At 47.9% G+C, this 26,679-nt stretch overlaps 1 protein-coding gene and 1 long non-coding RNA gene across 13 annotated transcripts in view, besides 2 other annotated features; one reads left to right on the top strand and one right to left on the bottom strand.

Annotated features, from left to right (window-relative positions):
* The window catches only part of ELK3 (ETS transcription factor ELK3), a 75,450-nt gene that overhangs the window by 36,828 nt on the left and 11,943 nt on the right, over positions 1-26,679 (top strand). For 5 of the 12 annotated variants that reach the window (NR_182213.1, NM_001413761.1, NM_001413760.1 and 2 more), the window contains one exon: positions 15,738-16,532. Coding sequence is in view for 8 of the 12 variants with exons in the window: in NM_001413761.1 (NP_001400690.1) it covers positions 15,738-16,532 (795 nt within the window). In the remaining 4 variants the exon portion in view is untranslated. Of the gene's footprint in view, positions 1-15,737; positions 16,533-24,295; positions 24,349-26,679 lie in introns of those variants that run through there. The other 7 variants (NR_182215.1, NR_182214.1, NM_001413763.1 and 4 more) reach the window with 6 other exon arrangements.
* Positions 82-4,394, bottom strand: LOC124902991 (uncharacterized). Its single transcript, XR_007063414.1, has 2 exons — positions 4,220-4,394; positions 82-3,219 (listed from the first exon to the last, which is right to left on the bottom strand). It is a non-coding gene; the product is annotated as an uncharacterized LOC124902991 (long non-coding RNA).
* Positions 3,804-4,788: an enhancer, noted in NCBI's record as "H3K4me1 hESC enhancer chr12:96628784-96629768 (GRCh37/hg19 assembly coordinates)". NCBI's record gives its function as "activates a minimal SCP1, AML or CMV promoter by ChIP-STARR-seq in primed H9 embryonic stem cells {active_cell/tissue: H9 hESC(primed)}" and the evidence as "EXISTENCE:reporter gene assay evidence [ECO:0000049][PMID:30033119]".
* Positions 6,830-7,330: an enhancer, noted in NCBI's record as "H3K4me1 hESC enhancer chr12:96631810-96632310 (GRCh37/hg19 assembly coordinates)". NCBI's record gives its function as "activates a minimal SCP1, AML or CMV promoter by ChIP-STARR-seq in primed H9 embryonic stem cells {active_cell/tissue: H9 hESC(primed)}" and the evidence as "EXISTENCE:reporter gene assay evidence [ECO:0000049][PMID:30033119]".

Here is a 26,679-nt window from a genome sequence, read left to right on the forward strand (position 1 = left end):
TTTTTGGATAAGTTTTTTTTTCCTTAGGTTTAAACTGAGTCTTCCAGAAGGTAGTTTTATAACCTGATGTAACAGTAAGGATCTTTTTCAGAGATTTTATTTATTAACAAGCTAACAAGTCTTTCACTCCTTAACATCAGACAGATGGACCCTTCATCTTAGAGTAGAGAAGAGCGGGGCCCATGCCCAGAGCATTTCTGTCACTGGCCCTGACAACTGCCAGGCACCTTATGGGTCAAGCCTGAGGGGCAGGAATTCCTGCTGGGATTCACAGCATTCACCACTTCTTGAATAAGGCTTTTTTTTGGAGACACAGTTTCACTCCTGTTGGCCAGACTGGAGTGCAGTGGCGCGATCTCAGCTCACTGCAACCTCTGCCTCCCAGGTTCAAGTGATTCTCCTGCCTCAGCCTCCCGAGTAGCTGGGATTACAGGTGCGTCCCACCATTCCCAGCTAGGTTTTGTATTTTTAGTAGAGATGGGATTTCACCAGACTAGTCTCGAACTCCTGACCTCAGGTGATCTGCTCGCCTCGGCCTCCCAAAGCGCTGGGATTGCAGGCATGAGCCACAGCACCTGGCCTAGGGTTTTTAATTATACATCCACCTCCAGTTGACACGGCCTCTTCTTTCACCTCTGCCTTTTCCTCAGCCATCCAGCCATCCCTTTGGAAACATACCTCCTTCCTCCTGAGGGGCTCAGCAGCTGGTTGGGGAGACAGACATGAAACCAATTTTAGTAGAGAACCCCGTGTAAAGTGCTGGCATGGCCAATGCTGGGGTCTTCTGGGAGAGCAGGGAGGGATGTAGAGGCAGAGGGAAGGCCTCCGGAGGTCAAGACACTTGATCTGGATCTTAAGGAATGAGAATGAGTTTACCCGGCTGAAAAAAGTTAGAAGGGATATACCAAGAAGGGAACAGTGTGAGTAAAGGCAGGGACGTGTGGATGAGTTTGACCTTTCAAGCACAGAGTATCTTGGGAGTGAGGGCAAGATGTGGTTGGAAAAGTGAGTGGGGAATGGAGTGTGGAGTATATCATGCTAAAGGGTTGGAACTCTGTGGTGAGAGCCAATGAAAAGTTAAAAGCTGGCTGGGTGCGGTGGCTCACGCCTGCAATCCCAGCACTTTGGGAGGCCGAGGCGGGTGGATCCTGAGGTCAGGAGATCGAGACCATTCCGGCCAACATGGTGAAAACCCCGTCTCTACTAAAAATACAAAAATTAGCTGGGCATGGTGGTGTGCGCCTATAAATCCCAGCTACTCGGGAGGCTGAGGCAGGAGAATTGCTTGAACCTGGGAGGTGGAGATTGCAGTGGGCCGAGATCACATCACTGCACTGCAGCCTGGGCAACTGAGCAAGGCTCCATCTCAAAAAAAAAAATAAATAAAAATACATTAAAAAAAAAGTTAAAAACAGGAGATGGGGGAGGGGGCGGGGAATGCTCACACCTGTAATCCCAGTACTTTGGGAGGCCAAGATGAGAAGATTGCTTGAGCCCAGGAGTTTTGAGACCAGCCTGGGCAATATAGTGAGGCCTTGTTTCTACAAAAACAAACAAAAAAAAGCCCCCAAGAACCAAAAAACTAATAATAACAGATGAGCAAAAATGACAAAAAATTAGCTGGGCATGGTTGTGCGCACCTGTAGTCCTACTTACTGGGGAGGCTGAGGCAGGAGGATCACTTGAGCCCAGGAAGTAGAGGCTGCAGTGAGCTCTTACTATATGACTGCACTCCAGCCTCGGCAACAGAGTGAAAGAGCAAAACTCTGTCTCTTAAAAAAGCAAGAGAGTGCTATGAGCAGATTTCCATTTTAGAAATAAAAATCTGTGTCTCCTCTTACTGTTCTTGGCATGGATCATTTTACACCCAACCATACAGCCTTGATCTTTCTGGCCAGGTACCATGAATCTATTTCTCTCTGCTGGCCGAGTTGGCCCTATCACACCTTCAGCATGAGGTGGAGAGGGAAAAAGGATGGGCTCTGGTATCCCCATAATGTGGGCAACTGTCTTTTGCTCACGAGAAGCTGAAGACACGGGTTCTCTCTGTTGTTGCAGAAGGAGACCTGGAAGCTTTCACAACCCCTCATCCTCTTCTGTCCAGCAGACCTTTTGTCCTTGCTGGCACTGAACATTCAACCCCGGGGGAGGCTGAAAGCTCTGCTGGCTCCCTTCTCATCAAGAGAGGAAAATGGTGATAGGATGAAAAATCCTCCCGTCTCCACAGCAACCTCTTGGCTTAGCCTCACGATGTACTGAACAATCTTTACTTAATTGGAAGGGATTTCGGGGAGAACAGTCAAGACAAAGTCATTGGCAACCTATTCCTGGAATTAGAACGCATCACCTTCTTAACTTAATTGGATAATTCATTTTAAATTGGGCGTGCAATCACGACAAGAAAATGTTAGTATTAATAATACATATCTGAGATCAACTGCCTCTCCCAAGAAACCTGGCCCTGGTGGAATTCTTTAATTCCTCCAAAATAAATTTTGCAAAGATAAAATGATGTTGTCAAAGTGGAGAAGGAACAAACATCCAGCAGGCATTCATATCCCAGAACTTTCTAGAACACCTCTGTTGGTCATGGAATGTTAGGGAAGACCTGGACTCCCTTTGGGGTGTTTTATCGATCGAGGGGGCCCTCTGTGCCCGGCCCTGGGTGTGAGTGTTGAGGGCCTGGTGTGTTTTGTTAAGTGTCTTTCTTTCCTACCATAGCAGCTATTCAGATGGTTGGAAGCATAACAGATGGCAATGGGCTATTGCCTGGGGGCGCAGGGGATGACCAGGGCCTCTCTCACAAGCTTGGGTCCTGGAAGCTGCTTAGAGACCTGTGGAGTGGCTGAACCGCCTCATGGAGGTCTTCCAATCTGGTCACATTGTGCCGGGAGATGGCAGCTGGTATCAGGGGACCAGGCTGCTGGGAGCAGGGGGCTGCGTGTTGACTGAAGGTGCTGCCTGTCTTGCACGTGCTTCCAGGCCAGCTTCCCTGTGGCACTCAGTGTTCCCCCAAAATAGGGCAGTTGCTAAGAAACAGGGATGAGCCAGAGGCCCGGGAGCGCCGTCAACACTGTGTTGATGAGGATGCTTCTGCGCCAGGGGCTCGGCTGCCAAAGCTCTTGCGGCCTTGCCAGATCCACTTACGTCAGGCTGTTGCCCAAGCCCACACCGAGTCTGCGTTTGCCAGCATGAGCGTTCCTGCTTCTGGGATTTGAGCTGCAGGAAAATTTAGTGGTTGTGTAGACAAACTCACAAAAACTCCAACATTCACAGCATAGCACCCACCACCCGCCGTCCACCCACGCCTCAGCTGCTCCTCTGCACGGCCTCTCCCCCACCCCTGCCTGTGCTCCTCCACGGCTCTTCTCAGTTCCTACCCCAAATTTGTAACATAAAAAAGAGATGCTTACGTGTGTGCAGCATTTTGTTTTAAGCCAGGCACTGTGCTAGGTATTTTTACATCTATTAGCTTATTTTCCAATTTGTGATGCACCAGTGCTGGTGGTCGATATTGAGCCCATTGTAGAGGTGGGGATGCTGAGTCTCCAAGAGGTGTAAGTCACGGACTCAAGATGCAGCAGCAGGGCGGTGGCAGAGCTTTCAGACTAAGAGTGTTGACCCCCAAGGCCCATGCCTGGGCTTCCAAAGCTGGAGGGCGACACAGCTCCAGAGCCCTGGGCCCAGACTTGAGTCCTGTATGCCCAGTACTGCTGATGATTACCCCAAGGGCAGCCAGGGAGGAGAGACAGGCCCCCGGTATTTTTTAATTGAAATGACAGTGGAAAAACTGCTGGCAAGATTATCTGAGTCAGCTGAAAATGTGAGTTTGAGTGGCCCCGGAATACCCCACGCTTCCAGAAGACGCTTCCTATGGAAAGTACTGGAGCGTGGCACTCCTCTGCGTGTGCGCCTCCCAGCTCTCGGCGGCCTCCAGGAAGGAGTCCAAACTCCCTTCACCATCTCACCCCAACCCAACTGCCTTCCCTGCACCCCCACAGCCGCCCCCCACCCCAGCATCTTCTCAGGCCCCCTCCTTCCCCCTGCCCTTCTTGCCTGGCTCACTCCTGGCCACCCTTCAGACTCCTCTCTCTGCCTCCTCCAGCTGGCGCCTCACTTGGTGATGGCCGTGTCTGTTCCATGGCCCCTCCCAGAGGGACTTGGTTTCTCCTGCTGTCATTGCGTCTCCCTTACGGGGCCGCATGCTGGGTTTTCTTACCATTTCCTGCATCCTGCAGAGCCGAGGGCGTGGCAGCACCAATCAAGTGTAGTAGGAATGAGTAGGAAACAAGCATCCTTCTCCATGGCACAGAAGGGAGTCTGTCACCTTGGAAAGTCACTCAAGAGAGGATCCAAGAAAGCGTCTTGCCCTACCTACCCCTCCTTTAGCAAGTGAGGATCTTCGAGGGGAGGGGAGTTTCCAAGTCAACTGGTGACAAAGCCAGGATGAGAAGACACTCCCAGACCACCTGTGGCTAATGACACACACTGCCCGGCCATGCCATCTGCCAGCGCTGGAGGTGGCCGCTCAACACAGGAAGGTCAAGGTCAGTGTTAGCAGCTCCCCCACCCAGCAGGGGAAAGGGAAAGACTTGCACTGGGGAGCAGTTTTATTTATTTTTATTTATTTATTATTAATTATTTTTAGATGGAGTCTTGCTCTGTCACCCAGGCTGATGCAGTGGTGAGATTTTAGTTCACTGCAACCTCTACCTCCTGGGTTCGAGCGATTCTCCTGCCTTAGCCTCCTGAGTAGCTGGGACTATAGGTGTGCCACCATACCCGGCTAATTTTTGTATTTTTAGTAGAGATGGGGTTTCACCATGTTGGCCAGGCTGGTCTCGAACTTCTGACCTCAGTTGAACCACCTGCCTTGGCCTCCCAAACTGCTGGGATTACAGGTGTAAGCCACCACCCCGCCTGAGCAGCTTTATGTTCTATGTTATTAACACTTAAAAGGCCTTTGAATAAAAGTACCCTTGAGTGTTTAAGGAGAGCCAGGAGGGAGACAGGACTCCAGGTCCAGCCAGCAGCAGCGCCCAGCCAAGAAGGCAGGGAGAAAAATGCTGCGAACGTCCAGTCGAATCCTCCCGGGTTGGGGTGTCCTGCCAGGCCAGCAAGCCAGCACTTCTCACTAGCACCCTCAGGGTGCCACGTGTACTCAGGCAGCAGGGATGAAGAGCGCCTCAACTTCAGGCTGGCCAAATTTGGTGAGATAGTTCACGCTGCAGTTTACCGGTGCCAGAAAGCAAAGAAACCTCAACCCAAACCACAAGAAAACCTCTCCCGGGAGCCGACAGAGTTGGCCTGTTCAGAGACAGAGTTCCAGCCTTTGTTGGCAGCACGTCATTCTTAGAAGTCTGGAATGGGTGTGAGTGGGTGTGTACGTGTGTGTGTGTGCACACTCCAAAGTTCGGCTTTGCACAAGGGACAGCCTAGGCTCCACCTTACCCGGTGCCTGTACCATCGCAGTGGGAAGGGCTAGTTGCACCCCAGTGGCGGCCCCAGGCTGTGCCTCCTCTGCCTCGCTGAACAGAGACAATTTTAAGAAAGGGGTGTATTAGTTTCCCAGGGCTGCTGTAACAAATGACCCCAAACTTGGTGGCTCAAAACAATAGAAATGTATTCTCTGAAGGTTTTGGAAGACAGAAGTGTGTAATCCAGGTATCTGCAGGGCCCCGCTCCCTCTGAAGGCCCTAGGGAAAAATCCCCCCTTCCTCTTCTGGCTTCTTGTGGGCTCCAGCCACCCTTGGTGTTCCTTGACTTGCAGCTGCCTCACTCCAGTCTCTGCCTCCACGTCCCATGACCACCTTCCCTGTGTGTGTCTTTCTGTGTCTTCATGAGGACAGAAGCCATTGATTTCAGTGCCTACCTCAAATCCAGGATGATTCTGTCTCGACATCTTTAACCAATTACATCTGTAAGAACCCTGCTTCCAAATCAGATCACATTCTAAGGTCCTTGGTGGACATGAATTTGGCAGGGACATTAAACTCACTGCAGCGGTGGGTGGGGGAAGATTGCCTTGGTGAGAAGCAGCTCAGGTTTATGGGTCAGAGGAGCCCTTTCATAAGATGCTCTTAAATAGCTGGGTGTGGCGGCTCACGCTTGTCATCCCACTACTTTGGGAGGCCGAGGTGAGAGGATCGTTTGAGCCCGTGAGTCCAGGATCATAAGATGCTCTTTAGTGGGGGTGGGTGTGAGGTGAGCCTGCCCCCCAGACATTTGTAGCAGAGTCTCTTATGGCCAGCTGACTGCTCACTGTCCCCTCTGCTTCAATGGCAGAGACAGAGCAGAGGCAGGGGATGTCACACTGCATCCAAGCCACTGAGGGGCACTTCAAGGACAGAAGCTGGCTTCACTCCTTCTCCATTCCTCAGAGCCTGGCATGGGGCCACCCATAGGAGAGTGTGTATTCAGTGTTCACTGAAAGCCAGGTGTGGTGGCTTGAACCTATAGTCCCAGCTACTTGGGAGGCTGAGGCAAGAGGACCGCTTGAGCCCAGGAGCTCCAGGCTGCCGTGTGTAACAGTCGTGCCTGTGAATAGCCACTGCATTCCAGCCTGGGCAATGCCAGCAAGACCCCATCTCTAAAAAACAAAAACAATGTTTGCTGAAAGAATGTTTGCTTGTCGGAGAGATACAGTAACTACTTGTTCTAACTTTGGAGAAAGGACACTTCGGGTTTCATGTCAGGAAGGAGTGAGTCAGACTGTGGTCTGGAAGGGAACCCAAAAGCAGGAGTTGAAGAAAATGTGTTGGCCAGGAAGCCGCGGCCTGGAGATACTCCTCTGCTACTTGTGGGTGTTGTGAACTCAGCTGGGAGCCTCGGGTCTCACATCTGTGAAGTGGGTATCAAAGCGTTGTGAGGCTAACATGAGATTTTGTGTGAGCCTTCTGTAAACTGTAAAGTAAGGTGCCCACCCAAGAAATTTTCCTGGAAGGCAGAATAAAATGAAAAGTGTGATATAATGAGCAGTGTGTACGATTAGATTATTGCATGCTAAGCAAGATTCACTGGGTGAGGGTCATGTTGTAAGGACCTGTGTGAGTGAGGCACTGACTGCGTTGAGTCTTTAGAAAAAATTAGCCTATGGGGTATTTTTATTCCCATTTTAGGGGTGAGCAAACTGAGCCCCGTGTAGATGTTCAGTAACTTTCCCAAGGTCATAGTAAGCAGAGAGGCTGGAATTCAAACCCAGATCTGTTCACCCCAGCACTGGGTCCACATGACTTCTGGCCCGTCAAGGCTCCTGGCCTGTGCCCTTGTGTGAGCTGCTGCTGGGCACGGGCCTGGAGACAGCCGGGGGAGCTTGGCAGTGGGTGCCATCACCGGGCTGTATATGGTGGACACGAGCTTCCTGTTGTTTTCCTGTCACCCTCGTCCCTTGGATGGCATGCCACTTATAGTTTGGCTGCTCATGTCCAGTCTGCTGCACTGGGAGTGCTGGGTCCCCCGTGCCTCATGTTAGGGTGTCCCTCCAAAGCAGGCACCTTCTCTACCCTGTGGATTGGCAGAGGCAGTTCTATTTCTAGGTAATGAATGGACCTTACGGAAGATTGGTCTCTTCCGCCCGAAGAGCTAGAAATAACTGTTCTCAAGCAAGGCCCATGCTTTCTCAGCACAGAGCTGGTTTTCCCAGGCACTCTGCAGTTAACCCCACTATTACTCTGGAATGCAGAGACCCCTTGGCCCTGTCGGATTTACTTTAGTAGCAGCCTCTGCTTCCAAATGCAGCTGCTTTCTGGAAGAGGGTGTGGTAGTGGAACAGAAATGGCTTAGGTCTTGGCACTAGATACAATTGGGTTCAAACTTCGGCTCCACCAGTTACAAGCTGTGTGACCTTGGGCTAGTCAGCTTTTTAGTTCCTATTTCTTTCCCTTAAAAAGTCTTAATTTGACAAGTAATACATATCAAATATACATTCTTTAATGTGAAAATACACATAAGCAAAAAGAAATATGAAAAATCACTGTTAAATTTTAGTATACCTCTTTTAAGATTAATTTTTCTACCTCCTTTTATTTACACATATATGCATATATACAGTAGAAAACATATAAATATATATGCAATAGAACATTTTTAAAATAATGGAATTATTCATACTGTTTTTTTTCCCCACCTAATGTATATTTAAAGGTATGGGGAAGTGTTAGCAATGTCGTGTCCCCTGAAGTAGCTACGTGGTATTCCATTGTATGGCTCTCCCAATATTTAACCTACCCCCAGGTGGTGGACAGTTGGATATAACCTCACTGTCCAGGGGGACCTTGGCTTCTCCATCTCTGCAATGGGATAACAGTGCCCATCCTGCAAGGCAGCTGTGTGTGCTCAGCATGCAGCTGGCCCTCATAAATGCTGGCTTCTTTCCTTGTCCTTTCTCTGTACTGGTTCCTTTCACGTAGGGTATCTACCACGATAAAATGAGTGTGCCCCAAATAAATGCATTGTCTCGTGTGTCTGCTCAGCACCTGAACAGGTTCCTGCCTCGGGTCTTGCTGACAAGTGCGCAGGGCCAGCAGCTTCCCGTTGGCCTCTCCCAGGAACCCTGAGCAGAGGCCTGAGCCCAAGCAGACGCTGCAAGGCTGCTCTTCTCCCTCCCAGTCTGGGCAGCATGGTTTCTGCTCTGAGAAGCCGCCGGGAGCAGTTGAGATGAGCTGGGTGCCTGGTTAGTGTCTGCACCACCTTTCGGGGCCTGACATGTGGCGTCTCGCCTGTAGGCTGCGGCCAGCATCTAAGCGGAGCACTTGGATCTAGCAGTTATTCACATCTGCGGCTCCGTGTGTCCCCCTCCTAGAACCTCCCCACAACCCCCAAATTAATTGGATTGTGTAAGGTTTTCGTCACAGTGGATGTCAAGTGCTGGCCGTGTTAGGCACAATATAATATAAGCCTTGTATCTATTTCTTGTCTGAACCTAACTAAATAAAAACATCATGTTTCCCTGCTCAGTTGAGATATGTAAACCAGATGTAATTCTGCCTGCTGTGCAACTGATCATGTTACCCAGAACTTTGGACAAAGCTAGCAGAATATGCGCAGCCTTCTGTGAGGGTTAATTTTGTCTATTAAATTGTCATTAGGGCTGACACAGGGTGATATTTATGTTTTGTTCTGTTTTTGCTTAAATGGGAGTGTAAAAATGATGATAATACTAATAGCTAGTATATGTTATGGGGCTTGTCATGCGTGGATGCATCGGGCGTTCTGATAGAAGCTGTATATGGATGTCTCATTCAGTCCCATGAGGCAGATGGATCAGTCCCCATTTTATACATGAGAAGCTGAGGCATTGAACTCAGGCAGTGACTCTGGAGCCTCTCCTTTTAATCCCTGCAGCAGTCTTTGTGATAGGGTCAAGTGGGTATTTATTGGAAAGGTCCCCTGCTCTGTCCCCCTTACCCAGTGCAGGGGTTAAGAAGGGCCTGTTTGTTAGGAAAAGTCTTCAGCACAACCGATCCTGCTTGCTTACTGAGCTGCTGACATTCTCAGTTTTGAGAACGAGGTAGGAGAGTTGCAGAATCAGAGGGCAGGAGCGCTGTGTTTCCAGGGTGCCCTGAAATGGCAGAGGATCCAGGGGCCAGACCAGAATGACGAGGAACTCGCCACAGGCCTGGCTCCTCGCGGGGAGGAAAACGGAAGATCAGATAACAAGACTAAGCACGTGAACTCCAGATGCATAACCTTGGATCAAAATTGGGGTGCCAGACCAGAGTGGGTGGACAGACACATGCAGCAAATATTTGCCACGTAAATGGATGGGTGAAATTATGGCTCATTAAGCTCTCACGGGAGGTGTGAGGTTGTATGTAGCATGTGGAGTTTGCATATGGCCTCTAATATCTGCCTGGGAGTTTTCAGTTTAAAAATGCCAGCAAAGAAGAACAAGCAGGTATATGTATGGGATACACCCACAGGGAGCTTTAACCAGCCTAAGAATGAGCCGTGGAAAATTGTGTCTTTCATGCCTGTGGCTTTATGCCTGGGTCAGTTCTCCTTATAGTTGGTAATTCATTCAACAAACATTTAATTAACTCATTTAAATATAATCCTAATAACATCATCAAGAAGGTAAATCTAATTCCATATGCATCTTTTCATTACCTAGCACTGCATATGCTTTTTTTAAATTACAAAACTTATCGAAATATTTCTCATCTATCTACTATTTGAGATTATTTACACAGACTCCTTCCTCTTCAAAGGGCACAGTGGAGCGTTTGTGTGTGTGTGTGTGTGTGTGTGTGTGTGTGTACATATGTAAACACACTGTGGACAGCCATACCTTTTCTTATAGGTAGGTATGCCTGTAACCTGTCAGGGTAACAGACAGCACTGAAATGGAAATGGAAATATGACCTGCTCTCTTGGCATTTTCTATGCAGTTAAAGTGAAATAATTGAGGGATCCTGTCACGAGATCCTGTCATGGGCTGCTGTCATGGGATGCCTTGGTCCCCAGAGGTGGCTGGTGAGTTGGGAAGGGTTCTTCTGCACAGGTCTGCCCGGAATCCTGTCCCAAAGGGACGACTTGCCCTTTAGGCTACTACTGCATTCTCAAAATGGCAACTTGGACGGGGTGAGGGATTAATTTTGGTATCTGGTCCTCCTCTTTTGCCTGGAACTGCCACTGGGCTCTGTTTGAAGGGGATGTTGCTTTTTCCTCTCACTAAAATTGGTCCCATCCTTGCTGCCCGTAACCTCACATGGAATGCCTGCCGGGCAAAGAGGCAGCCCTTTTGCAAATACGTATTTAATGGGAAATTACAAAGAGACTGGTCCCACCCATGTAAGAGGGAAGCGGATGTGTGTAACACTCTAAAACCACGCTGGAGATGCACTCAGCTCCACCCGACACAGACCAGCATCGCTCAGGTTACCAGGCAACTGTGAGCAACAAATACTTGTGAGTCTGGGATTGAAGGGGGTGGAAACCCGACTTTTTCTAAATATCCTCATCACTTACCATAATAAGAGCCCTTACCCAAGTGTGCTTGTGTCCCGGGCTGCCTAAGTTGGCCTGAATCTTGTGTCACCCTTCATAGTAGCCAAGACCTCAGGAGTCAGATTGCCTGGGTACCATCTGTTCTCTCCAGGTACAAGCTTCCAACAGTGTATAATTTATACTTTCCGAGCCTCAGCTTGCTTATCTCCAAAATGGGGATAATAATCATTCCATTCTCTAAGAGGATTGAGTGAGTTGATGGTTGACAGGTTCTTAGAAGATAGCCTGACAAATAATACGTGCTCAGCACATACTAGCTTGTATTATTCCTGACACTGAGTCTTCTCAGCAAACTCTTGGAAGGAAACTTCCCTCTGGAAGCCACAGAGAGATCTTCAAACATACATGGCGCTGCTTCTGGGGGCAGCCCTGGAAGATAAGGAAGAAGGGGCTGTCAGTGCAGCTGCAGGGACACACGTCCTCTGAGCCCAGGTTGTTCCTAATCCTCCAGCCGTGGGCACCGCTGTGGGGGGCTTTCCTTACCAGCTCCCCTCGTCTAGCAGATGTCCCCGGTGCTGAGTCACTGGGCTGCACTGCTCTGACCCACTTACTGTACCCGACCCTGCCCTCTTCCCTCCCAGTTCCACTCTTTAGCCTTCGACCCTGGCAGGTTTCCAGGTAGCCAGATCGAATCCGTCTTTCCCATTGGTCTCTAGAGAAGCATGACCTGCCTCGGTTCTTTCCAATGGCTGTCACTTCCTCCTTTTGGCCAGCTAGTAAATTGTCTCCATCCCCGTCACTGCGTAACCTTTCCCCAGAAAACTCTTGGTGTCCTCTCTGCTCCCCCAGCAGAGGCAGCAGCTACTGAAGGGCCCTTCCCAGTGTCTCCCTTTTTACATTCTGAGTAGGGTTATGACAGTTGCTTCTAGCTATAGAAAGTTCCCACTGTCTTCCACTTAAACACGTAAAATACTTAAGATTCTTATATGTTCTTTTCTTTAAAAACCAGCTTCATTAAGATAAAATTCACATACCATACAATTCACCCATTTACCATATACAGTTCAGTGGCTCTGAGTATAGAGTTCTGCACCCATCACCGTGACCCACTTTAGAACATTTTCATTACCTCCTTCCTTCCACCCCTCTCAGCCCTAGGTAACCATGCTCTACTTTCTGGTTTTTTGTATAGATATCATGATTCTGGACATTTCATATAAATGGAATCATATGTGACCTTTATCATGTAATATCTGGCTGCTTTCACTTTGCAGTGAATCATAGAATAGAATATTCTATTCTATGGCTCATGCCTATAATCCCAGCACTTTGGGAGGCTGAGGCGGGCAGATCACCTGAGGTCAGGAGTTCAAGACCAGCCTGGCCAACATGGTGAAACCCCGTCTCTATAAAAATTAGGCAGGGCGTGGTGGCTCACGCCTGTAATCCCAGCACTTTGGGAGGCCGAGGCAAGGCAGATCACGAGGTCAGGAGATCGAGACCATCCTGACTTACACGGTGAAACCCCATCTCTACTAAAAAAAATTAGCCAGGCATGGTGGCGGGCGCCTGTAGTCCCAGCTACTCAGAGGCTGAGGCAGGAGAATGGCGTGAATCAGGGAGGCGGAGCTTGCAGTGAGCCGAGATCACACCACTGCACTCTAGCCTGGGCAACAGAGCGAGACTCCATCTCAAAAAAAAAAAAAATTAGCTGGGCATGATGGTGGGTGCCTGTAATTCCAGCTGCTTGGGAGGCTGGGGCAGAAGAATCGCTTGAACCTAGGAGGCAGAGGTTGCAGTGAGCCGAGATCACGCCACTACATTCCAGCCTGGACGACAGAGCAAGACTCCATCTCAAAAAAAAAAAAAAAAAAAATCTATGATTCTGTTTAATGAAATTGAGGCCCATTATGTTATGTTTGTTCCTTACTATTCCAAACAATATTCCTTATTGTTCTTACTATAGTCTAGTAATTCATTATTCCTCAAATAATGAATTCTAGGCCTTGGTGCAGAGCTTCATTCTTTACTACAGCTGGATAATATTCCATTGTAAGGACACCCCACATTTCATTTATCCTTTTGCTGGTTGGTGGACAGGTGGGTTGTTCCTCATGTTCTTTTTAACACAGCAAGGCCATATGATCTGTCTGAGGCTGCCTTTCAGTTCCCAACCATTTTTTGAGCAGGAGAGACATTTTCTGTCATTTTTATCACAGCCCTTGGTTATTTCTTGATGTGTTCATGAATGTAATCCCAACTTAGACATGATGTTCCAAACCTATAAGAAAATTAGAATTTTTTTTTTTTTTTTTTGGGAAAGAAGAAACAGTTATTTAAGACTTGTTAGAATAAATGATTCAGATCCTTTTTCTTCTGTGTTTTTATTTTGGCTCTAAATAAAACATTTATAGAAGTTTGTCTTTTGTGTAATTATTTAGGCTCTAAAAACTTCACTCAGTTTAGATGAGTGTTCAAACTCGCTGAGGGAAAAAAATAAAGTTTTTCCCCAGGGAGAAAAATATTATGAGCTAAAACTAAAAATAACTTAAAATTTTAGCGAAGGAAGCATTAACACACCAGGCCAGCACACTTTCTTTTTAATGGGAACTGACCCTGGGTCAGGTGGGTCCAATGACACCCTTATTTAATTTATTTCCTGCTGGGAGCTGATTTTCCTGGGCATGTTCTGACCCAGGGCACTCGGCAGAGACGCTGCTAACAAAGTCCAGGTGGAAAACATCTGAGTTTCCCAAATTTCTCTAAAGGTTTTTAAGGGCTGTTCAGCTTCGAGTAGCAGCGTGAGTGTGAGGTCGCTGGCGTAAATGAGACCCCGCGGGTTAAGTTGCAGGTGGGAGCTCCAGGATGCAGCAAGGTGGCCGCGGCCACTGGAACTGTTGTTTGGCCTTGACTCTAATCTAAGGTGCCCTGGGCGTCGGCCTGTATGCTGGTGCTCAGTGAGGTTTCTCCATGACTCTGTATGAGATCTCCTGTGCTGAATGGGACCCTTAAATGTGCCCTTCGCTGCCATCATTTAAGGAGGGAAAAGGCAAATCAGAATGTCATAATGTAAAGGATGGCAGGCAAACACATGTTTTTAGAACCACACTATGATTTCAAAAGGCACATCAACATTCAGTTGAATTTCATGTCTATTGGGGGATCTTTGATTTCTCTCCCCCTAAATTTGTGTGGGGATGTGAAAAAGCTTACGCTTTAGAATCTGTCGATCTTGGTGGTTCTTGGGCAAATGACTCTCCATCCCTGGGATCTTGTTTGTGTCAGAAGGATGACATCCTCCACCTCCATCAGGGCTAATGTGGGGATCTAATGAGGTGCCTTATGTACAACCCCTGGTACAGAAGAGAGGCACTCAATCAGAGCTGCTTCTAAAGCTCTTCTACTTGAAATGATCTTTTTTTAATCCTCACTCATACCCTGGTTTTAGGTGGAATAGTTTCTAAGGAAACAGAGTCCTTTTCCCATAGGATGGTGCTGGGTTTTTGTGCTTGAGAGAGACCATCTTTGTCTCTCTGAGCCCCTTGGACGCCAAGATGCATCCACAGGGCAAGGCACACGCAAGCATTTGGTAGGTAAATATAGAACCCAGTGGGTTCGGCAGGGAATTAAAGTATCCATTTAATAAACCTCAAGAACAGCATAGCCTTTAATATAAAGTCCCTTCTCCCAAAGGGTTGCAAAAACTTTTGCAATGATTATTGCTTTTCATTTATAGCCTAATGTTTGAGGACTGGAGCCATAAACTGAAGAGCCAGAAGTAGACGCTAGCAACTAAAAATACTGTCAATGAATGTCACAGATATCCAAAGTAGACAATTCGTTTTCCTTCCAGTGGCTTTCTTGGCAAAAAAAATAAAAATTAAAAAGGAAAAAAATGACTGAGTTAAGAAAACGTTGTAGTGTTTGATGATGATAACTTGCATTTTATAATGCTTTCCAGCTTACAGAATGCTTTCTCATTATTATTTCATTGAATTCTTCTGACTCGCAGAGGTAGGTAAGACAATACTGTGTTATGGTTCAGGACATGCTGCCTCTACCACTTCACTTCCTAGCAGGTGGTCATGTGAGTTAGGGAAGTGCTCTAAGCTTATTTTCCAAATTTTTAAAATAGGAGTCACAACACCTTCCTTTTAGGATTGCTGTTCAGATTGTATGAGATAAGATATGAATAATCCCATCCACATAGTAAAGGCTTCATAAATGGCAGCTGTTACTATGTTATTACATAGAATAATCCTCACTCGGCCAAGGTTGGGGGATTGCTTGAGTCCAGGAGTTTGAGACCAGCCTGAGCAACCAAGTGAGATGCTGTCTCCACAAAAAATAAAAATGTAAAAATTAGCAGGGTGTGGTGGCATGTACCTGTAGTCCCAGCCACTCAGGAGGTGGAGGCAGGAGGATTGCTTGAGTCCAGGAGGTTGAGGCTGCAGTGAGCCATGTTCGTGCCACTGCACTCCAGCCTGTGCGACAGAGTGAGACCCTGTCTAAGAAATCATCATCATCATCATCATCTTCCTTACTTTACAGACGAGGAAACTCAAAGTGGCACTTAATTTGCCAAAGATCACAAAGATCTAGTAATGGCAGAACTGGAATGCACATCTAATTCTACTTCCAACTTCATTCCTCCTTCCACTTTTCCTTAGCCAAGAATGTAAATCAGGAACATTTTGGTGCTTCTGCCAGCGACATTTACCATTATCATGAGCTCTTACATGGTTTCTCGGGTGCACTCAGATTTTCAACGTCTACTTTTGTATTTGCAGAACATCATCAAGAAGGTGATCGGGCAGAAGTTTGTGTACAAGTTTGTCTCTTTCCCGGAGATCCTGAAGATGGATCCTCACGCGGTGGAGATCAGCCGGGAGAGCCTTCTGCTGCAGGACAGCGACTGCAAGGCGTCTCCGGAGGGCCGCGAGGCCCACAAACACGGCCTGGCCGCCCTCAGAAGCACGAGCCGCAACGAATACATCCACTCAGGCCTGTACTCGTCCTTCACCATTAATTCCCTGCAGAACCCACCAGACGCCTTCAAGGCCATCAAGACGGAGAAGCTGGAGGAGCCGCCCGAAGACAGCCCCCCCGTGGAAGAAGTCAGGACTGTGATCAGGTTTGTGACCAATAAAACCGACAAGCACGTCACCAGGCCGGTGGTGTCCCTGCCTTCCACGTCAGAGGCTGCGGCGGCGTCCGCCTTCCTGGCCTCGTCCGTCTCGGCCAAGATCTCCTCTTTAATGTTGCCAAACGCTGCCAGTATTTCATCCGCCTCACCCTTCTCATCTCGGTCCCCGTCCCTGTCCCCCAACTCACCCCTCCCTTCTGAACACAGAAGCCTCTTCCTGGAGGCCGCCTGCCATGACTCCGATTCCCTGGAGCCCTTGAACCTGTCATCGGGCTCCAAGACCAAGTCTCCATCTCTTCCCCCAAAGGCCAAAAAACCCAAAGGCTTGGAAATCTCAGCGCCCCCGCTGGTGCTCTCCGGCACCGACATCGGCTCCATCGCCCTCAACAGCCCAGCCCTCCCCTCGGGATCCCTCACCCCAGCCTTCTTCACCGCACAGGTAAGAGTCATTCCTGTCATCTAAGCCACAGCCAGCTTCAGTGGCTTAGCAAAAAAGGAAGAGCAACTAAAGAGACTTCCTTCTGTCCCTCAAAACGTTGTCCTATGACTCGTACCGAGGTCACTGTGTAAATGTGAAGGGAAGCTGCTTTTCCATCCTCAGACCAAGGGGTGCACATGAGACAGGGTTTGGTTTGTCGACTCTAGTGGGATGCTTGATTGGTTTCTTGCTTTTAGCGGCCTAAAGTGACCATAGGTGGAACACGCACACTGGCCGACAAAGCAGATCTCACCAGCGATTTCCAAGGGAAAGTTGAGCGGGCCAGTTTACATTTCGGGAGGCGCTTGGGCTTTATGAAATTTTTATGGCAGAATCTTCTCTGGGGGCGCTTAATAAGGAGCCACTTGTGTTCTGTTAACAAGAAAATAGATGTCAACTGATGCCGCCATCGCATGTCAGTGTGGAGCTGTGGTCATAGCGTAGGTAATAAGAAACAAAGGGGCCACCCCAAACAGCTGCTTCGCTGAAAGCAGCACTACTCTGAGAAAGCCCCAGTCCACAGCACTGGCGAGAGGACAGCAAACTTGCAGAGCCAAAAAAGCCTTCGTTGTTATTAGTCCCAAAGAGAAAGCAGCCTTTTCCTTTAAATCAGATATTCAGATGCTCTTTCTTGTCCAGCTGACAATTGCAGTGCAAAGGCGTAGTAGGTGCTGGGAAACCATATTTCTCCTTCCCCTTGAAAATTGGATGCAATTTTAGTGGCAGAGGTTAAAAGAGTATTCGTTTTAGGTTCACAGACCTGCATTCAGTTCCTGGCTACCCTGCTTCCTAGGAGTGGGACTGTGGGCGGTTGCTCTCTGGGCCAGGTTCCATGTGTGGAAAATGGGACCATGGACAGGCTTTGTGAGCTGGGGACACCTGGTAGCATTGTTAACCGTGGAGCTGCACCCGTCCCCTGCCTCTGTAATCTCATCGTAGTTGTCCCTGTTGTCATTAGCAGCAGCCGCGGCAGCATATGACGGGCTCCCCACGTGTGCCAGGCACTGCTCCAGATGCTTTACATGCATTGCCTGTATCCACACTTACAGCAGCCCTGTCACGTGGATACAGGTTGAGCATCCTGTTTCCAAAATGCTTGTGACCAGAAGCATTTCAGAGTTCAGATGTTTTCAGATTTTGGAATATTTGCATGATACTTGCCAGTTGAATATCCCACATCTGAAAATCTGAAATCCAAAATGTTGCAATGAGCATTTCCTTGGAGTGTCATGTCAGGACTCAGAAAGTTTCAGATTCTGGAGGATTTGGGATTTGGGAATTTTTGGATTTGGGATGCTGAGCCTGTGCTATTATTATCATCCTGTTTCCCAGCTGAGATAAATGAGGCACAGAGGTAAAGTAGTTCGTCCAGGGTCCCACAGCCAATAGGTGGTAGAGGTGGCTTTGGATCCAGTGTCTGCCTCCAGAATCCATGCTCTCAAATGAAATGCATTCCCGCTGCGAGAAGGCAGTGTCCCTGATCACGATGGCCGTCCATGGAGCACCTGAAAGCAGCTCTGGGCCACTGTCCTCTCCACGCTTTCTCTGGACTGGATTCTGCCCAGGATTTCATGACAGCTCAAGCCTGTGAGCTGGTGGTGACGCGCGCCACTGCGGAGGGGGAGGGCCAGGGGATCAGGATATAGGTCAGAGTGAGCACGTGTGCTCTTAAATCAGGCATCTTCCAGTTAAGCAAGGCTGTCCAGTGACCAAGGGCTGCTGAGCAAATGGCTCAGAAACAGCAGCTCCTGATGTAGCTCAGGGGAGTATCTTGAGAGGCAGGGCCAGGGTAGATGATCTGAGCATCTCCTCCCCTGGCCTCCTGTGTGTTTACAACTGTCAGGGTGAGAAAGGTCCGAAGCCAGGCCAGGGCTGACTCTGATTTAGGTGTCTGTGTTCCCTGGGAGCCTGGATCACCTTCTCAGAACAGAGTGAGGCAGATGCCAGCCCTGTCTCAGAGGAAGTCAGCTCAGCCAGCCCTGTGGATAATGTGGATGGAGTGGTGGCTCCCATCGGTGGGGCTGAGGGCGTGAGAGAAGGATCAAGGGTGGATGCCCAACAAATGGATGCAGAGGGCACGACCAGGAGCCAGAAGCCACCAGCATGGCCTGAAACTAGGTGGGAAGGCGTAGGAAAGCCAGGATCTTTACAAGAGGACCTGTGCCTTAGGCAGTGAGGGTGCCTGGTCCTCAGCCAAGCTGTGAGGGTGGGGCTGTGATGATTTAGTGCCAGGAAGCCCAGAAATGGTCCTGAGGGGAGGGAGGCAACAGGCAGCATCTGGACCCAGGGCAGGAGAGTGGAAGTAAAGGGACCTGGCTCAGAGAGGGCCTTCGGGTCAAAGGAGGAGGAGGGGCACCAGGCAGTCCTCTAAACCACGCAAAACTAAGGGGGTCACCAGCTACACTGGGAGATGGTAGAGCCTCGGGACTCAGACCCCACTTTGAACTTCCCTCACATTCCCAGAGTGTGGGCTCTGCTCCTGGCATGGCCATGGGTGGCCAACAGGGAGGGAGAGAAGGGGCAATGAGGGAGACACCAGAGGGGCCCGGGTGGTAGTCAGGGGTGTGGTACTTATTCAGAGTTGAGTTCTTGCAGCCGGTTTCACCCAGGCGGATTCCCTGAGATCAGATAGGATATCTTGAAGCCAGGGGTGGTTTAGGATTAGGGTATGTCAGTGTCAGATTTGGACTCTCAGATTCCCTCCCCTGGGAGCTGCTTCAGGGGGTGCCCCAGAAACTCACCCACCAGCACCAGCTCAGTAGTTTGTCTTCCAGGTGACAGCCAGAAACAGCGTGGCTCTCAACAGCCAGGCATTCTGTGGAATTCCTTTCGGCCTCAGGAGTGAAGGACAACTGTGGGGTTCAGGGTGTTCCACAGGCAGCAGTGAGGCTTCAGTGGTTTTCCTCTTACCTGAGCACTTTGTCACAGAAACTCTCCTTTTCTCTGTGTGTGGGGGGTGTGCTGTGTGCAGTGTGATGCTGTGTGCACATAAACATTTGATAATCTGTGGGCTGTCAGCTTTGCTTAGTGGTGGGCTTTGGAAGAGGTGAAAGCTGTGTGTGCTGTAATAACCCGATACCCTGAAGGTACAAATTCCGAAGGTTGGTTATTTCCAGCTAGAATCATGGCAGGAAGAAGGGGAGAAGTAAGGGAGCCTTGGCATGGCCTGTGTCACGTGGTTACCTTATCACACCTCATACAGGCATCCCTCATTTTACTGTACTTTGCTTTATTACGTTTCACAATTAATTGGTGGTTTTTACAAATCGAAGGTTTGTGGCAACCTGGCGCTGAGCAAGTCTTGTCAGCGCCAGTCTGTTCTTCCAACAGCACACACTCACTCCGTGTTTCAATGTCACATTTTGGTAATTCTCAAACATTTCCAACTTTTTCCTTACTATTATGTCTGTTATAGTGCTCTGAGATCAGCGAGCTTTGATACTACTATTGTCATTGTTTTGGGGCACCATGAACCACACCTGTATAAGACAGCAAACTTGATCAGTGTTGTGTGTGTCCCAACTGCTCTCCTGTGTCAAACTTGATCAGTGTTGTGTGTGTCCCAACTGCTCTCCTGTGTCTCCCTCTCCTTGGGTCTCCCTATTCCCTGAAACACAACAATTTTGAAATTAGGCCAATTGATAACCCTATAGTGGCCTATAAAGTGTTCAAGAGAAAGGAAGAGCTGCGCATCTCTCATTTTAAATCCAAAGCTAGAATGATGACGGTGAAGGCATGTCCAAAACCGAGACAGGCCTAAAGCTAGGGGGCTCTTATACCAGTTAAGTATGTAAATGTAAAGGAAGAGTTCCTGAAGGAAATGAAAGTGCTACGTCAGTGAAAACATGAATGATAAGAAAGTGGGACATCCTGATTGTTGATATGGAGAAAGTTTTAGTGGTCTGGATAGAAGATCAAACCAGCCACAACATTCCTTTCAGGCTAACCCAGAGCAAGGCCCTAACTCTTCAATTCTTTGAATGCTGAGAGAGGCGAAGAAGCTGCAGAAGAAAAGTGTGAAGCTAGCAGAGGTTGGTTCATGAGGTTTAAAGAAAAAAGCCATCTCCATAACATAAAAGTGCAAGGTGAAGCAGCGAGTGCTAATGGAGAAGCTGCAGTAAGCTGTCCAGAAGATCTAGCTACGCTCATTGATGAAGGTGGCTACGTCAAACAGCTTCACTGTAGGTGAAACGGCCTTCTACTGGAAGAAGATGCCATCTAGGACTTTCATAGCTGGAGAAGAGAAGTCCATGCCTGGCTTCAGAGCTTCAAAGGACAGGCTGAGTCTTGTTAGTACAGCTTGTGACTTTAAGTTGAAGCCAGTGCTACTAAATACACTCTGCCTGTGCTCTGTAAATGGAACAACAAAGTCTGGACGACAGCACATCTGTTTTCACAGTTTATGGAATAGTTTAAGCCCAGGTGAGACCTACTACTCAGAAAAAAGATTCCTTTCAAAATATTACTGCTCATTACAGTGCATCTGGTTACCCAAGAGCTCTCATGGAGATATACAAGAAGATTAATATTTTTCATGCCTGCAAATACAACATCCATTCTACAACCCAGAAGTCAAGGAGTAATTTTGACTTTCAAGTCTTATTACTTAATAAATACATTTCATAAAGCTACAGCTGCCATAGATAGTGATTCCTCTGATGGATCTGGGCAAAGTCAATTGAAAACCTTCTGGAAAGGAGTCACCATCCTAGATGCTATTAAGAATATTCATGATTCATGGGAGGAGGTCAAAATATCAACATTAACAGGAGTTTGGAAGAAACTGATTCCAGCCCTCATGGATCACTTTGAAGGGTTCAAGACTTCATTGGAGGAGGGAACTGCAGATGTGGTAGAAATAGCAAGAGAACTAGCATTAGAAGTGGAGCCTGGAGATGCAACCAAATTGCTGCAATTTATTGATCAAACTTGATTGGGTGAGTAGTTGCTTCTCACAGATGAGCAGAGAAAGTGGTTTCTTGAGATAGAATCTACTCCTGTTGAAGACGCTGTGAATATTGTTGAAATGACAACAAAGGACTGAGAATATTACATAACTTTACATTACATTACTTAGTTGATAAAGCAGCGGCAGGGTTTGAGAGGATTGACTCCAATTTTGAAAGAAGTTCTACTCTGGGTAAAATGCTATCAAACAGCATCACATGCCATAGAGAAATCTTTCATGAAAGGAATAATCAATTGGGCCAGGTGCGCTGGCTCACGCCTGTAATCGCAGCACTTTGGGAGGCCAAGGCGGGTGGATCACCTGAGGTCAGGAGTTCAAGACCAGCCTGGCCAACATGGCAAAACCCCGTCTCTACTAAAAGTACAAAAATTAGCCAGGTTTGGTGGCAGATGCCTGTAATCCCACTACTTGGGAGCCTGAGGCAGGAGAATCACTTGAACCTGGGAGGTGGAGGTTGTGATGAGCCGAGATCACGCCACCGCACTCCAGCCTGGACAACAAGAGCGAAACTCGCATCTCACCAAAAAAATAAATAAATAAATAAAAGAGTCAATCAATGTGGCAAACTTCATTATTGTCTTATTTTAAGAAACTGCCACAGCCACCCCAGTCTTCATGACTCTGCCTCCTTGTCCCTGGTTCTGCCCTGCTTCCTCCCCTGTCCCTTTCTGTAGCTACCCTAGGCCCCCATGGGAGTCTCCATTTTGTCTCCTTTTCCGTAGGATCAGTGCTACAGACTTCTGTGGGATTAACTCACCTTTTAAAGACCTTAAAACCATGGTTTCACTTGAATTCAGACAACTTTAGGAGCTTCCAGAGATTCAGTCACCTTTTATTTGAGGACATTTTTTTAACCTCAAGGTGGCATTGTCATGGATTCTGTTGGCATCTGTGGGAGCTTAGGATTACAGATATTTGTGGGTACAACCTGCTAGACATCTTGTTTCTCTCTCCTTTACTTTCTTAGAGACTGAGTGACTTACCGGTATCTCAGATCACCAAATCAAGTGATCAGCAAATACTTCTGCATCTTCTTTAATCAGTCCAGTAACAAATGTTTATCATGTATTCATTCATTTGGGAGATAATCACTGAAAACTAAGCATTCGCTTAGATACCTGGAGATACAGAGGTTAGCAAGATAGAAACCGTTCCTGTTCTCATGAGTTTACAGGTTGCTGTCCAGCATACGGGGCAATATATAACATAGGGTTATAATTTAGGGTGGTGTGAAATTATGGAGGACCCTGAGAACTGGCTAAGGAATTTTGACTTGTTTGGATTGGAAATTAACTGCTAGAGGCTGGGCGCAGTGGCTCACGCCTGTAATCCCAATATTTAGGGAGGCCAAGGGGGCGGATAGCTTGAGGTCAGGAGTTCAAGACCAACCTGGCCAACATGGCCAAACCCCATCTCTACTAAAGATAAGAAAATTAGCTGGGTGTGGTGGTGCATGCCTGTAATCTCAGCTACTCGGGAGGCTGAGGCAGGAGAATCGCTTGAACCCGGGAGGCAGAGGTTACAGTGAGCCAAGATTGTGCCACTGCACCCCAGCCTGGGTGACAGAGTGAGATTCTATCTCAAAGATAAATAAGTAAATAAACAGCTGCTAGAGGTATAAGTGAAAAAAATCTCATTAGAATCAACAAATAATTATTGAGCAATAACAGAGCCTAGAAAGGACACCAAAACTACAGTTGCTTGTTTTTATGACCTTAGGACCTAGCCATGACAACAAGGCATTACAAGTGCACACACACACACAATAGCCCTTGGCAAGAGTCAAACATGCAGCACAGAGAAGCGCTTTAGGAGCTGAGGGGCAAGATCGTTTAGTTCAGGTCAACACACATGAACTGAGTGCCCATCATGTGAAAGCTGCTGTGTTTGGAGCTGGGGCTACAAACGTGGATAAAATAGTCTCTGATAGTTAGGAGCTCATAACTTAAGTCCCTTCATCTAGTATCTCAGGTGCAATACAAAAGGAATACTAAGTTGCAAAAGGAATCCTAAGGAGGAAGGTATTAACTTTGCCTGAGATGGAGGAAGAATGTCCAGAGGGCTTCCTGGAGGGGGTGAGACCACTGGTACAGGGTGTTGAAGGATCAGCCTGTGGCAGGGTAGACAGGGAGAGGAAGGCATCGTCGGCAGAGGAACAGCTTGAGGCAAGGCATAGATACGTGAAATAGCTTTGTGATTAGGGGAGGTATAGCAATAGGAAGCATTGAAGGGGTATGAGTGACAGTCTGAATTGTTTTAGGAATCACCCTGCTGGCGAGATTGGGAAGGGGGAAGGCTGGATCCAAGTAGGATGCTATTGGAATATTCCAGGCGAAAGACCATGAGTATCTAAGGCTGTATGGTGGGAGGGGTCAGAGGGATGGATCTGATGTTGGGAGTGCCGTCAGCAGGAGTTGGTGACTGACTGGGTGGGAGGAGTGGGGAGAGCCAGAATTGAGTGTGAGGAACATGGGAGGAAGACTAAGCTCCCTGGGAAAAGGCTAAACGTCCAGTCGGGGCCATGCTGAGTTTGAGGACCCTGCAGGAAATTCGGGTGGAAAAGTCCAGCTGCATCTGGAGAGCGGAGAGTGTTTTGGAGCCGGAGAGGAAGTTAGGCAGTCATCAACACGCAAGGGGTGGTGAAACCATGGGAACGGATGAGGTCACTTGTGGAGAGGGCCTGTAGCCCAGGGAACTATGGGCTGGGCTGGGTGGTCAGGGAAGTTCTGAGGGAGCGTTGAAGGACTGTTGGGTTAGAATGCCTGTTCCTCCGTGCATATGAGGAAAGCTCAGGACACATCAAAGCAAGTAAGAGGGTTTGGGGAGGGAAGTGTCTACGAAGAGTCAAACTCTGTAAAATATTTGAAGAGATTTATTCTGAGCCAAATATGAGTGACCATGGCCTGTGACACAGTCCACAGGAGGTCCTGAGAACATGTGCCCCAGGTGGTCGGGGTACAGTTTGGTTTTATATATTTTAGGGAGGCATGAGACGTCATGAAATTGCCAGGCAACTTCAAGGTATGGCAAGGAAATATATTTTGGGGTTAAATATTTTTTCCTCGTTCCATAATGTTACTCCAGAGTCAGATTGAAAAGTAAGTCACCATATATAGGGTCAAATAAAACCCATCTGATGAGAATTTACGGTTTGTAGGGCATGACTCCCTAGACCCCTAGGTAGGAATTTGGGCAAGATAAAAAATGAGAGCTTAGTCCTCAGAAGTTAGCAAGTGTGTGAACCCAGATTATGGGGAACCTCAAATCTGGGGCTAAGGAGGACATCACATCCTTTCTGAAATGGTGACTGAATGTTGAGTGAACTCAGTGTTTGAGGGTGGTTGATTTGGCGATGGGGTACAGAATAGATGGGGAGACCGGAGGCAGGTGGACTGGCCTGGGCAGCTGTTGTGGAATGCCATCTGTAAGGTGATAGGGGCTTGGATGCAGCAGGAATGGAAATGAGGGATAAACAGGAGACTGAGTTGTGGGACTCCTCCAGAGGCTATGTCCGGAGCTTGCAGTTATCGGAAGGCATTTTGCATGGTGGGGCCTGGGATGCGGGTGGTAAATGGGGCTGTGCATGCAGGGTTTATGTCTTGTTTTATCCTCATCTGTGGCACCTGAAACATAGTTTGCACTCTCGGTCAGTATTTATTGAGGCAGTGCCTACACGGTGGTCCTGTTGACAGAAGGGGAAGAGTCTTAAGAAACACTGATGTGGAAAGGTGCTGAGCTTCATGAAGTTGGAGCATGGTGGGGCATCCAAGTGGAGATGCCCAACAAGCGATAAGCCAGGGGGGACCCAGCTAGAGCTGCAGATGGCTTCAGTTCATTGGTATTTAGGAGATGAAAGTACAGGAGGAATAAAGATGAGCAGATACCTTAAAGGCTACAGAAAGAATAAGAAAAATGTGCCAATCACCATAATAGGAGGCAGAACATGTTAAATGTTAAGAAAAAAATGGTCACAAAGTGTTACAAAGATTCAGAAATAAGAAATCCCATCTGGTTGAGGGGAGATCAGGAAAGTGTCCTTGGAGGAGGTGGCATTTTGATGGGCAGAGGAAGGCAAGAGGAGGAGGCAGCGGGCCGGGGCAGGGGTGCACAGGTGGGCATGCCTGGATGCCAGCTCACCCTGGCGAGCTCAGATGTGCAGGCTTTTTAGGAGACTCTATGAAGTGGAAGTGGAAGATGAACTGAGTGGGGAAAATGAAAAGGGGATCTTGGGATGAGGGTCTTACTCTTTGCAAATGCATTGCCTGTGGCATCTCCTTTCCCAGCAGCCGTGGGATCAGGAGCTCCTTATCTGCCATGCTTGTTAAAACGAGACTGTCTTTGGGGAAGGAAAGAAAACAGCACTTTTTGCTGTGGCTTCTTTAGCCCTTGGCCCTCAGGCTCAGCCCACTCTGCCTGACTCCAGGAGCGTGTGGAGAGAGGCTGTGAAGTCTCACACTGTCCCGGAGATAACCCAGAGCAGGTGTTATAGGAACTTTCCTTAAAAAAGCAACCACATGGTTCTTTAAGGCCACAGGATTTTCAGGGAGAACTTCAGGGATAGAAGGGAGAGGAGGGAATGAAATCATTTTACAGTGTTTATTTGCATATATTATAGAAGACATTTCAGACATATTAAAGATGAGAAACAAGAAGGCTACAGTAGTCTGAGTACATCCTGTATTCCTAAGAAACAAATGTGCAAACATCTCAAATCCAGACATGGGTATACGTTTTAGACCAGAGAAATAGAAATTCTAGACCTTGTACATTGCTTAGAGGATTAAAAAGGAATGGGCATATGATGGCCATGGAGGAGAGAAGGATAGCTGTGTTTTGTGGTTTAGAAGATTGTCTCTTTAAAGCTTTGAGAGCCTTCATTGATGGATAAACTAGGAGGCCTTGAACACACTGGTTATTAAATGTTAATGTGACATATTGAGGTTGGAACCTTGCTCCAGAGTAACATGCAAATATTAGTTTTCAGAACACCTGAGCTTGTGGCCTTGAGCCTAACACAACTGACAGTAGCCTCCAAGTCCAGGCTGACTCAGTTGAGTTGGTCTGTTTCAGAGGATTAAGTCCTTCTCTGTATACAGTTGAGAATTTCTCCCTCACATAGATGAAGTACGTTTAGTAAGT

The sequence above is a fragment of the Homo sapiens genome, chromosome 12 (assembly GCF_000001405.40).
Source record: "Homo sapiens chromosome 12, GRCh38.p14 Primary Assembly".
Classification (NCBI taxonomy): domain Eukaryota; kingdom Metazoa; phylum Chordata; class Mammalia; order Primates; family Hominidae; genus Homo; species Homo sapiens.